Raw genomic sequence first — 13,144 nt, 5'->3', positions numbered from 1 at the left:
AAAAAAAAAAAAAAAAAAAGAGAGCTCAATTTACCCATTACTCATAAGAAATACCGTTAGTTTAGCTTTAGAGGAAGACTAATGTACTCTTCTTAGCAAACATAATTGAGAGAAGATAGGTGGTTTAAATAATGCAGTGTTTAAGATCTCAGGAAAAGAAAACAAAAGCAATGGGAAAATGGAACCGTTAAAAAAGTAAGAATTCAGATTGTTTATTGTTTTAATTTGACTTTTAAAACCAATGAAAGAGTGGTTAAAGAGTTCATTAACTCCTCATGCAGTGTAAGGGAATTTTGTTGTACCCTGCTTCATACTAGGAACTAGGCTAAGTCCCTGTTCTCTCATCATCACACTTTTCTATATTTTCTCTCAAGAAAGAAATAATACATTTTATTAAGATACCTGGCCAGGCATGGTGGCTCATGCCTGTAAACACAGCATTTTGGGAGGCTGAGGCAGGCCGATTGAGCCCAGGAGTTCAAGACCAACCTGGGCAACATGGCGAGACCCTCTCTCTACAAAAAAAAAAAAAAAAAAATTAGCTGGGTGTCGTGGCACACACCTGTAGTCCCAGCTACTATGGAGGCTGAGGTGGGAGGATCACTTGAGCCTGGGAGGTGGAGGTTGCAGTGAGCCATGAGCGTGCCTGGGAGACAGAGCAAGACCCTGTCTCAAAAAAAAAAAAAAAAAAAAAAGACACCCAATTTCTTGAAAAATAAATTATTCTGAGCAAAGTTTGTTAAAAATAAATCTATTTTATACTTTAATAGTTTATTTTCATAGTTTTATTAAGAATAATTTTGTGGCCAGGCGCTGTGGCTCACGCCTGTAATCCCAGCACTTTGGGAGGCCGAGGCGGGCGGATCACGAGATCAGGAGATCGAGACTGTCCTGGCTAACATGGTGAAACCCCGCCTCTGCTAAAAATACAAAAAATTAGCCGGGCGTGGTGGCAGGTGCCTGTAATCCCAGCTACGGGAGGCTGAGGCAGGAGAATGGCATGAACCCAGGAGGCGCAGCTTGCAGTGAGCTGAGATCGTGCCACTGCACTCCAGCCTGGGCAACAGAGCGAGACTCCGTCTCAAAAAAAAAAAAAAGAATAATTTTGTATACTGTAAAATATTTTATTTAGAATAATTTGCTTTGTTATAGAATTACTTGTTAACACTGACATGCTAGGTAAATGGTGAAGGCTTTGTTGAATTATATATTATACTAAAAATCTTTAATGGATCTATAATAAAATAATTACAAAAGACTTCTCTTTTTAGGCCAGGCGCGGTGGCTCACGCCTGTAATCCTAGCACTTTGGGAGGCCGAGGCAGGCGGATCATGAGGTCAGGAGATTGAGACCATCCTGGCTAACACAGTGAAACCTCCTCTCTACAAAAATTAGCCAGGCATGGTGGCGGGCGCCTGTAGTCCCAGCTACTTGGGAGGCTGAGGCAGGAGAATGGCATGAACCTGGGAGGTGGAGCTTGCAGTGAGCTGAAATCGTGCCACTGCACTCCAGCCTGGGTGACAGAGCGAGACTCCATCTCAAAAAAAAAAAAAAAAAGACTTCTCTTTTTAAAAGAATACTCACAACTCCTGTATAAATCATGTTAATCTCTCAATAAAAAGGTCCAGGAGGCTGGACATGGTGGTTCATGCCTGTATTCCCCCAACTTTGGGAGGCCGAGGTGGGAGGATCTCTTGAGCCCCGGATTTTGAGACGAGCCTGGGCAACAAAGTGAGACCCCATCTCTACAAAAAAAGACTTTTTTGGTAGATTTTTTTGTAGAGACAGCAGGGTCTTGCTGTGTTGCCCAGGCTTGAGTACAGTGGTGCAATCTTGGCTCACTGCAACCTTTGCCTCCTGAGCTGAGGCGATCATCCTCCCACCGCAGCCTCCCAAGTAGCTGGGACTGCAGACATGCGCCACCATGCTCAGCTAATTTTTTTTAATTTTTGTAGTGACAGGGTTTTAGTGTATTGCCCAGGCTGGCCTTGAGCTCCTGAGCTCAAGCAGTCCACCTGCCTCGGTCTCCCAAAGTGCTGGTATTACAGGTGTGAGCCACCACACCTGGCCAAAAATTTTTAAAAAATTAGCCAAGCATGGTGGCATGCATCTGTAGTCCCAGCTACTTAGGAGGCTGAGGTAGGAGGATTGCTTGAGCCCAGAAGGTTGAGGCTGCAATGAGCTGTGATTGCACCACTGCACTCCAGCCTGGGCAACAGAGCAAGACTCTGTCTTAAAAAATAAAAAATAAAAAGATCCAGGAGATACGGTGAGAAGCCAGACATTGAGAATATAGAAAAGAGAAATACTAAATTTATTAACTCAACTTTCTTTTATTGCTGCTGCTACAACCTTCCCAAACCCAGGTTTTTTGTTTGTTCGTTTGTTTGTTTTGGTGCAGTGGCCTGATCATGAACCTCCTGGGTTCAAGCAATCCTCCCACTTTAGCCTCCCAAGTAGCTGGGACTATAGGCACCCACCACCACCTCCTGGCTAAGTTGTTTGTCTGTCTGTTTTTAAGAGCTGAGGTCTCACTATGTTGTTACCCAGCCTGCTTCCAGTTCTTTATTAGCTTATGGTAAAATAATAAAGTATGTTTGAAGATTTTTTTTGCTTTCTTCTTTGCTCACTTTAAACCATTACCAAAACAAGAAAACATTGGAGAATACTTTTTTTCCAACAAACTAGGAAAAAGATAAATCTGTCTAAGTAGCCATGGTGTCAGTATATTCACAGAGACCAGATATTCAGAAGTTCAGGTATAGTGTTGACTTTCAGAAGACAATATTGAAGAGCTACTTCCTATTTCTTTTGCTTTATAAAAAATGAAACTCCTTTTGCTTCTTCCCAAATCAACTTCCTTCTCTCCCTTTTCTTTTCAACATCTCCTTCTCTTCCCTCACCAGTAACTCCTCTTTTTTCTAAGCTGATGGACTTTAACTTTGCTCATCAGGGTATCCTCAAAGATAAACAGATAATATCAAATCAAGTTTCTTCCCCAAATTGATTCTAACATCCACTGTATCTACTATTAATCCCCACCCACCCCCCACCATTTTTTTTTTTTTTTTTTTTTTTAAGAGACAGGGTCTCTCTGTTGCTGGCTGGAAGTGCAGTGAAATTATCATAGCTCACTGCATCCTGAAACTCCTGGGCTCAAGCAGTCCTCCTGCCTCAGCCTCCCAAAGAGCTGGGATTACAGGCATGAGTCACCATGTCCAGCTCTCATTTTTAATTCATTATAAGATCCTAGAATCTCCAAATCTTGTAGGTCACCAAGTCATTCAGCTACCCTCTGACTCAGGAATCCTTTATGGCATTCTTGCATATGGATTTATACAAATAAATTTTACAAGCAAACATTAAAACTCTTCTTGACTACCTATGCCATACTTTACTCCTTATATTCAAAGATACATTAAATTATATTGGAGTACAGTGGAAAATGTACTTAATTAGATTTGAAAATTAAACTTTACATATTTACAAGATAAAATTACTAGGCCGGGTGCGGTGGCTCATGCCTGTAATCATTTTGGGAGGCCGAGGTGGGCAGATCATCTGAGATCAGAAGTTCAAGACCAGCCTGGCCAACATGGTGAAACCCTATCTCTACTAAAAATACAAAAAAATTAGCTGGGAGTGGTGGCATGTGCCTTAGTCCTAGCTACTCGGGAGACTGAAGCAGGATAATCGCTTGAATCCGGGAGGCAGAGGTTGCAGTGAGCCGAGATTTTGCCACTGCACTCCAGCCTGGGTGACAGAGCGAGACTCCGTCTCAATTAAAAAAAAAAAAAGAGGCCAGTGCGGTGACTCACGCCTGTAATCCCAGCACTTTGGGATGCCAAGGCAGGTAGATCACCTGAGGTCAGGAATTCAAGACCAACCTGGCCAACATGGCGAAACCCCGTCTCCACTAAAAATACAAAAATTAGCCAGACGTGGTGGCAGGCACCTGTAATCCCTGCTACTCAGGAGGTTGAGACAGGAGAATCGCTTCAACCTGGGTGGTGGAGGTTGCAGTGAGCCAAGATTGCACCGAGCCAGGACTGCGCCATTGCACTCCAGCCTGGGCGACAAGAGCAAAACTCCGTCTCAAAAAAAAAAAAAAAAAATGACTGACCTGCTGGATTTCAGACTTGCATGGGCCATGTAACCCCTTTGTTTTGGATGATTTCTCCCATTTGGAACTGCTGTATTTACCCAATACCTGTACCCCACTTTGCAAATCCAGGGTAAATACATTTCTTTAGTATGCAAGTATAGCATATGCTTTGCTTTCATCGTCACTTTTCTTTTCAGAAAGGTAATGGAAACTGAAGGCAGCATAGCAAAAAGACTGAAAGCACTTAATGTATGCCTTAAAAGACCAGCTGATATGGTTTGGCTCTGTGTCCCCACCCAAATCTCATCTTGAATTGTACTCCCATAATTCCCACGTGTTGTGGGAGGGACCTGGTGGGAGATAATTTGAATCATGGGGATGGGGGTGGTTTCCCCCATCCTGTTCTCATGGTAGTGAATAAGTCTCATGAGATCTGATGGTTTTATCAGAGGTTTCCGCTTTTGCATCTTCCTCATTTTCTCTTGCCACCGCTACGTAAGAAGTACCTTTCACCTCCCGCCATGATTCTGAGGACTCCTCAGCCAAGTGGAACTGTAAGTCCAATTAAACCTCTTTTCTTTCCCAGTCTTGTGTATGTCTTTATCAGCAGCATGAAAACAGACTAATATACCAGCATTTAAAAGTATTGTTATTAGAAGACCAGCACTTTGTTAGGTACTCATGGATAGTTTATATGTGAAATTGCCTTACATCTTTGTAAAATTCTCTAACTTGTAAAGAAAAATAAGGAATGTAGACGGGGTGAGGAATGTGGATAGAGCGGTAAGATTGTATATGATACAAATCATCTCACTATTCTACCTTAAAATAGGCATATTCTGCCCATGTCCTTCTAGGCATCTGATGTTAAATATTTTTCCTGCAGATCTTTTCAGGTTAGCTGCCTTTTTTTTTTTTTTTTTTCTTTGAGATAGGTCTTGCCCTGTCACCCAGGCTGGAGTCCAGTGGCATGATCTTGGCTCACTGCAACTTCCACCTTTCAGGCTCAAGCGAACCTCCTACCTCAGCCTTCTGAATAGCTGGGACTACAGGCACTTGCCACCATGCCCAGCTAATTTTTGTATTTTTTTGTAGAGACAGGATTTTGCCATGTTGCCCGGGCTGATGTCGAAGCGATCCACCCAGCTTGGCCTCCCAAAGTGCTGAGATTACAGAGGTGAGCCACCATTCCCAGACGGTTAGCTGCTTTTTAATAGGTTTATGTTACATTAAAATATTTTAATTAGGCAACATACTGATTAGTTTTACTTTGCACAGTTAGTTTCAGAAACAAATACGAACTTAATCTTCAGTGATACCTGTTCAGCCCTTTTTGCTAATTCACGCTGTATTTTCCTCTTTTCTAACATATCCTGCTCAATTCTGCGTTTTCGTTCCTCCTCCGTTCTCTTCCTTTGTTCCTCTTGTCTTTGTTTCTCCATTTCAGCAAATCTACCCTTCACAGTTCCTAAAAATATATGAAAAAAAAGTTTGATACTTGGTTATGTTTCTATTTTGCAATTTAATTTACTATTTACCCCTCAAGCTTCTTACCTGTTAATTTTGGAACATAAGCCTTTTCTACTTTAGAAGATACATCTTCCTCATCATCAGAAGCAAGCATTTCTTTAATCTAGATGGTTAAATAAATTAATGTGAGCACATGTCCAAAAATTAGACTAAATCACATTATATGCAGAGTTTAAATTAGGTTACAAATACAGAAAAGTATTTTAGTTATAGTTAATGTGAAATGTGGTTAATGTGAATAAATACAATTTAAATGAAAAAATGCAAACAAATATTTTCACGAGAATAAAGTAAAATAAAATAACCTCCTGCTTTCTCCTGTTCCATTCTCTCTCTCTAATATATTGTTCTTTTCTTCTTTGTTTTTCGTCTCTAGATCTCCTTTGATTTCTTTCTTCCCTGGCTCTCTGCATGGCTTCAAACTTATCCTTTACATCACCCTTGCCAAGTTTTGGTACATAGGTTTTTGGGACAGGTTTAGATGAAGAAAGCAGAATCTTCATTAGAAGAAAATAAAAAAAAGAAAGTTAACGAAAAAGATAGGAAGAAATTAGGTAAAGATAGATAAGAATAAGCAATATAAAAAATATTTATTGAAACAGAAAATAGAAATGTGTTTGAACCCTTTATTTGACCATCACAACCTGATTAGATACTTTCTAAAACCTAACTATGAAAAATGACATTACAGAAAATATGAGAGTAGAAATTTCACTGTTATATAGTAATGAAATCTCATTTTGTGGGTAGCATTCCACTGAAGCTGAAAGCCAGTAAAATATAAAAATCAAATTCTGAATTCTAATTAAAAACAACTGTCTTTTATTGTCTAACTCCATTATTAAAGATTCAGATTTGATATCACTTGCTAAAAAAGTACCCAAACTAATTTCAGTAAATTTGGTGAAGTTGAAAACAAAGCAAAAGTTTAGGCTTTAAAGTTTGAGCCTAATTCACATTTTACCCCCTTCCTGGTTTCTATATCCAATATAAGCAAAACCAAAGGCCAGTCCTTTAGTCCTTATTTGTGGCTGAGGTACACCGTGGTCTGTGTGCACAAGCTGTGATTTATGTTGTTACTATTACTTCCCATCTATAACTTCTTTAAGCCACATTAAAAATGTGTAAGAAGGCTATATCATTCTATATGGGGGCGGGCTGTAAGAGGAATTCCATATGGCAACAGCTTCACAAAGAATGGGAATCTGGTAGAAGACTGAAGAAATGATTTTCCTCCACTCTAAAACCAGAAGAGCAAATTATTTTCACCACTTTGAAAATTAAGCTGATTTCTAAATGAAATTTCAGTAAATAAAATGTGTGCCTCAGAACACCAAATCCTTTTTCCTAGTGATAATGACAATTACTTAATTAATTTGTGGCACATCCAACTTGTATTTTATAATCTATTATGTGTCATTGGCCATTTAAGGGTTAACTTTATAATTCTGAGGTGTCAGCAACTGAGCTCTTCTTACAACTCTCAGTATCTACAGTCAAGAACCAGAAGAAAGCTAAAAATTAAAATATATATATAAGGCACTAAAAAGGTTCCTTACCTAAGAGGGAATTATGTTTTCTCCTATGAGTATAGGTCAAACTTTGTTTTAATACTAAAATAATAATTTCTAAGAGTTATCAAGAACAAAATATTTAAAATTCTACTCAGAATGCTAGCTATCACATCCACTTCACTATCATTCACAAATTTACTACTCATGCTTTGTAGAATTTCCTAGAACCCAAATGAAAATACTAGCCCAAGACCAGCTGGTGAATTGTATCTCTTCTTGTTTTACATCTTGCCATTATGTTATTAATTATGAACTCCTAAATATGACCTTTCCACCAAATGACTGTCCTTTCAGCAATTCTACAGTCAACTCTACATTTCCCTCTTTTATTTTTATTTTTACTTTTGAGACTTACCTCAGCCTTTTGGGAAATATCATTCATGTTTGCTCTATGTGGTCTTGGGCTGATTATGAAGCTCTGTATATATTTGCACCTGAAAAAAATTTATATTGTATAATAAATTTTAATTTATTTGTAATATATTATGTATTTTTATAAATAGAAATAGCAGTTAATTGCCCCTCAAAAAATACTGACATGATTCAAGCAAGTAATAAATTGTGATAACCTTTAGCTCTTTTTCCCAAGATTCATGGTATAGAAAACATAAGGTGCATGATGGTAAAAGATCCCTGAAAGTTTTTGATCCAGAATAGCTTGATGAACATACTAAGTTCACTTGAAAAGAATGTGTATTCAGCAATTACTGAGTGTATTACTCTATAAATATTAACTAGCTGAAGGTAGTTGATCATGTTTTAGATCTGTATTTTTACTAATTTTTGGCTATTTCTATCAATCTTCAACTATGTAGTTTTTTGTTTGCTTGTTTTGTTTTGTTTTGTTTTTGTTTTTGTTTTGAGATGAAATCTCACTCTGTCGCCCAGGCTGGAGTGCAGTGGCGCCATCTCGCTCACTGCAAGCTCTGCCTCCCGGGTTCACACCATTCTCCCACTTCAGCCTCCCGAGTAGCTGGGACTACAGGCGTGTGCCGCCACGTCCGGCTAATTTTTTGTATTTTTAGTAGAGACGGGGTTTCACCGTGTTAGCCAGGATGGTCTCAATCTCCTGACCTCGTGATCCGCCTGCCTCGGCCTCCCAAAGTGCTGGGATTACAGGCATGAGCCACCATGCCCGGCCACCAGCTTTCTTTTTATTTATACATTTATTTTTTAGAGACAGCATCTCGCTGTGTCACCCAGGCTGAAGTACAGTGGCACAATGACAGTTCACTGTACCCTTGAACTCCTGGGCTCAAGCGATCCTCCTTCCTCAGCCTCCCAAGTAGCTGGGACTACAGGCATGCAGCACTATGCCCAGCTCTTTTTTTTTTCTCTATAGAAATGGGGTCTCACTGTGTTGTTTAGACTGGTTTTGAAACCCTGGGCTCAAGCAACTCTCCCACCTTGGCCTCCAGAAGTGCTAGGATTGCATCCGTGAGCCACTGCATCTGGCCCCCAACTTTCTTAGGTTTACAGTTTGCATGGTATATAATTTTCTAGCTATTTACTTTCACTCTATCTATGTTTTTATATGTAAAGCATATGTCTTGGACACAGCATATGTTTGGACCTTGCTTTTTACAAAAATCAATTCTGATAAAATCTGGGTTTTCTTTTTTTTTTTTTTTGAGACGTAGTTTCGCTCTTGTTGCCCAGGCTGGAGTGCAGTGGCATGATCTCGGCTCACTGCAACCTCCGCCTTCCAGTTTCAAGCGATTCTCCTGCCTCAGCCTCCTGAGTAGCTGGGATTACAGGCTCCCACCACCACACCCAGCTAATTTTTGTATTTTTAGTAGAGATGGGGTTTCACCATGTTGGCTAGGCTGGTCTCGAACTCCTGACCTTGTGATCCACCCACCTAGGCCTCCCAAAGTGCTGGGATTACAGGCGTGAGCCACCGTGCCAGGCCTAAAATCTGTTTTTTTAATTGCAGCATTTAGTTCATTAACATTTAATGTAATTATTAATATCAATGAGTTTAGGCCTATCATTTAAATATTTATTTTAGGTTTGTTTTATCTTGTTTTGTTTTTTTCTTTTGGAATTTTCTAGCCAACTTTTTTTTTAATAGAGTTTATTTTAGGTTCACAGCAAAATTGAGTAGAAGATAGAGATTTCCTGTATATGTTCTGTCCCTGCACATGCTTAGTCACCCCCATTATCAACACTGGATAACCCCATTATTACCACCTATTGGAGTGGTACATTTGTTATAAATGATGAACCTATACTGACACATCATTATCACCCAGAGTCCATAGTTTACATTAGGGTTTACTCCTGAGTTGTACATTCTGTGGGTTTTGGGTAAATGTACAATGACATGTGTCCATCATTACAGTATTGCACAGAGCAGTTTCACTGACCTAAAAGTCCTCTTTACTCCACTTACTTATGCTTTTCTCCCCCATAATTCCTGGTAACCATGATCTTTTTACTGTCTTCATAGTTTTGACTTTTCCAGAATGTCATACAGTTGGAACCACACAGTATGTAGCCTTTTCATATTGACTTTTTTCACATAGTTATGTGCATTTCAGTTTCCTCTATGTTTTTCATGGCTTGATAGCTCATTTCTTTTTAGCACTGAATAATATTCTATTACCTGCATGTACCACAGTTTATCCATTCACCTACCAAATGACATCTTGGTTGTTTCCAAGTTTTGGTGTTTATGAATAAAGTTGACATAAATATCTGTATGCAGGTTCTTGTGGACCATGATTACTGGATTATATGGTAAGAGCATATTTAGTATTATAAGAAACCACCATGTAGCTTACCACTTTGCATTCCCACCAGCAATGAATGAGAGTTCATATTGCTCCATATCCTCACCTGCATTTGATGTTGTCAGTGTTCTGAATTTTGGCCATTCTAATAGATGTGGAGTGGTATTTCATTGTCATTTTTATTTGCATTTCCTTGAATATATATTAAATGAATAAATATTAAATTAGAATTATATTAAATAATATATTAAAGCACCTTTTCATATGTTTATTTGCCATCTGTATCTTCTTCAGTGAGATGTCTCCTAAGATCTTTGTTTGGTCCATTTTTTTTTTTTTGAGATGGAGTCTTGCACTGTCACCCAGGCTAGAGAGCAGTGGCATGATCTCGGCTCACTGCAACCTCCGCCTCCCGGGTTCAAGCAATTCTCCTGTCTCAGCCTCCCGAGCAGCTGGGACTACAGGCACCTGCCACCACACCCGGCTAATTTTTGTATTTGTAGTAGAGATGGGGTTTCGCTATATTGGTCAGGCTGGTCTCAAACTCCTGACCTCAGGTGATCCGCCCACCTCGGCCTCCCAAAGTGCTGGGATTGCAGGCGTGAGCCACTGTCCCCAGCCCTTTGGTCCATTTTTTAATTGGGTTGTTTGTATTCTTATTACAGAGTTGTAAGAGTTCTTTGTGTATTTTGGATAACAGTCCTTTATCTGATATGTCACTTGCAAATATTTTCTCCAAGTCTATGGCTTATTTTTTAATTCTTTTCACAGTGTCTTTTGCAGAACAGAATTTTTTAATTTTAATGAAGTCCAGCTTATCAATTCTTTCTTTCATGAATTGTGACTTTGGTATCATAGCTAAAAAGTGAACTCCAAATCTGAGGTCATCTAGATTTCTGTCTATGTTTTCTTCTAGGAGTTTTATAGTTCTATGCTGTAAGTCTGTGATTCATTTTGAGTTAATTTTTGTGAAGAATGTAAGGTCTATTTCTAGATTCAGTTTTTTGCAAGTGGATGTCCAGTTGTTCCAGCACCATTTGTTGAAAATAATCTTTTCTCTATTTTATTGCCTTTGCTCCTTTGTCAAAGATCAGTTGATTATATTTACGTGGATCTATTTCTGGGCTCTCTATTCGGTTTCATTGATCTTTTTGTTTATTATTTCACCAACACTGCACTGTATCAATTACTGTAGGTTTATAGTATGTCTTAAAGTTGAGTAGTGTTAGTCCTCCAGCTTTGTTCTTCTCCTTCAACACTGTGTTGGCTATTCCAAGTCTTTTCCCTTTTCATATAAACTTTAGAATCAGTTTGTCAATATCCACAAAATAATATGCTGGGATTTTGATTGGGATTGCATTGAATCTGTAGATGGATCTAGGGAGAATTAATATCTTAATAATGTTAAGTCTTCTGATCCATGAACACAGTATGTCCCCCCCATTATATACATATTCTATAATTTCTCAGAAATGTTTTGTAGTTTTCAATGTGCAGATCTTCCACATCTTTTGTCAGTTATCCCTAAATAATTTCATAGTTGTTTATACTACTGTAAATGGTGTTGTTTTTTAGATTTAAATTAATGATTGTTGCTAGTACATGTTGAGTATCCCTTATCTGAAATGCTTGGGACTAGAAATGTTTCAGATTTCAGATTTTTTTTTTTTTTTTTGAGACAGAGTCTCACTCTGTCGCCCAGACTGGAGTGCAATGGTGCAATCTCGGCTCACTGCAACCTCTGCCTCCCGGGTTCAAGCAATTCTCCTGCCTCAGCCTCCTGAGTAGCTGGGACTACAGGTGCGTGCCACCACATCCAGCTAATTTTTGTATTTTTAGTAGAGACGGGGTTTCACCATGTTGGTCAGGCTGGTCTCAACTCCTGCCTTGTGATCCGCCTGCCTCAGCCTCCCAAAGTGCTGGGATTACAAGCATGAGCCACCGTGCCTGGCCTCAGATTTCAGATCTTTTTTGGATTTTGGAATATATGTGTATATATATATATATATATATAAAACAGGCTATCTTGGGGATAGGACCCAAGTCTAAACATGAAATTCATTTATGTTCCATATACACCTTATACATATAGCCTGAAGGTAGTTTTATAGAATATTTTAAATAACTTTTGCATGAAGCAAAGTTGTTTTGTTTTGTTTTTGAGATGGAGTCTTGCTCTTGTCGCCCAGGCTGGAGTGCAATGGTGCAATCTCGGCTCACTGCAACCTCCACCTCCTGGGTTCAAGCGATTCTCCTGCCTCAGCCTCCCAAGTAGCTGGGATTACAGGTGTCCGCCACTATGCCTGGCTAATTTTTGTATTTTTAGTAGAGACAGGGTTTCACCATGTTGGCCAGGCTGGTCTCGAACTCCTGACCTCAGGTAATCCACCTGTCTTGGCCTCTGAAAGTGTTGGGATTACAGGCGTGAGCCATTTTGCCCGGCCAAAGCAAAGTTTTGACTATGTTTTGACTGATCTGTCACATGAGGCCAAGTGTGGAATTTTCCACTTGTGACGTCATGTCAGTACTCCAAAGGTTTCAGATTTTGGAGCATTTGGATTTTAGATTTTCAGATTAGGGATATTCAACCTGCATACAGAAGTATAATTTTGGGGCCAGGCGCTGTATCTCATTCCTTTAATCCAAACCAACACTTTGGAAGGCTGAGGCAGGGGGGTTGCTTGAGGCCAGGAGTTCAAGAACAACCTGGGCAACATAGTAGACCCCATCTCTACAAAAAATTTAAAAATTAGCCAGGCCTGGTGGTGTGTGTCTGTAGTTTTGGCCACTTGGGAAACAGAGGCAGGAGGATCTCTTGAGCCCAGGAACTCAAAGTTACTGTAAGCTATGATCATATCACCATACTCCAGCCTGGGTGACAGAGTGAGTCCCTATTTCTAAAAGAAAAAAAATTAAAATTAAAAAATACAGTTTTTGTATTCTGGTTTTATATCTTGCAACCCTGCTAAAATAACTTATTAGTTTTTTTTTTTTTTTTTTTTTTTGAGACAGTCTCACTCTGTCACCCAGGCTGGAGTGCAATGGCACAGTCTCAGCTCACTGCAACCTCCACCTCTCGGGTTCAAGTGATTCTACTGCCTCAGCCTCCCGAGTAGCTGGGACTACAGGCGCGACCGACGACACCCAGCTAATTTTTGTATTTTTAGTAGAGACAGGGTTTCACTATGTTGGCCAGGCT

General features: G+C 39.5%; 1 protein-coding gene across 7 annotated transcripts in view, besides 1 other annotated feature; it reads right to left on the bottom strand.

Moving 5' to 3' along the window:
- Positions 1–13,144, bottom strand: part of NEXN (nexilin F-actin binding protein) — a 55,272-nt gene that overhangs the window by 20,197 nt on the left and 21,931 nt on the right. For 5 of the 7 annotated variants that reach the window (NM_144573.4, XM_005271322.5, XM_005271325.5 and 2 more), the window contains exons 2-5: positions 7,566–7,644; positions 5,942–6,133; positions 5,661–5,739; positions 5,426–5,574 (exon numbers count right to left, since the gene is read on the bottom strand). In NM_144573.4, the coding sequence (NP_653174.3) occupies positions 5,426–5,574; positions 5,661–5,739; positions 5,942–6,133; positions 7,566–7,592 (447 nt within the window). In that variant the 5' untranslated portion in view covers positions 7,593–7,644. The remainder of the gene's footprint in view (positions 1–5,425; positions 5,575–5,660; positions 5,740–5,941; positions 6,134–7,565; positions 7,645–13,144) is intronic. The other 2 variants (NM_001172309.2, XM_005271324.6) reach the window with 1 other exon arrangement.
- Positions 4,497–5,696: an enhancer, noted in NCBI's record as "BRD4-independent group 4 enhancer chr1:78383688-78384887 (GRCh37/hg19 assembly coordinates)". NCBI's record gives its function as "activates an origin of replication core promoter dependent on BRD2, P300/CBP, MED14 and CDK7 cofactors, and independent of BRD4, by STARR-seq in HCT116 cells {active_cell/tissue: HCT116}" and the evidence as "EXISTENCE:reporter gene assay evidence [ECO:0000049][PMID:35650434]".

The sequence above is a fragment of the Homo sapiens genome, chromosome 1 (genome assembly GCF_000001405.40).
Source record: "Homo sapiens chromosome 1, GRCh38.p14 Primary Assembly".
NCBI classification, from domain to species: Eukaryota; Metazoa; Chordata; class Mammalia; order Primates; family Hominidae; genus Homo; species Homo sapiens.
The sequence above is the reverse complement of the archived record's forward strand: the minus strand, read 5'-3'. Positions and strand labels throughout refer to the sequence as shown.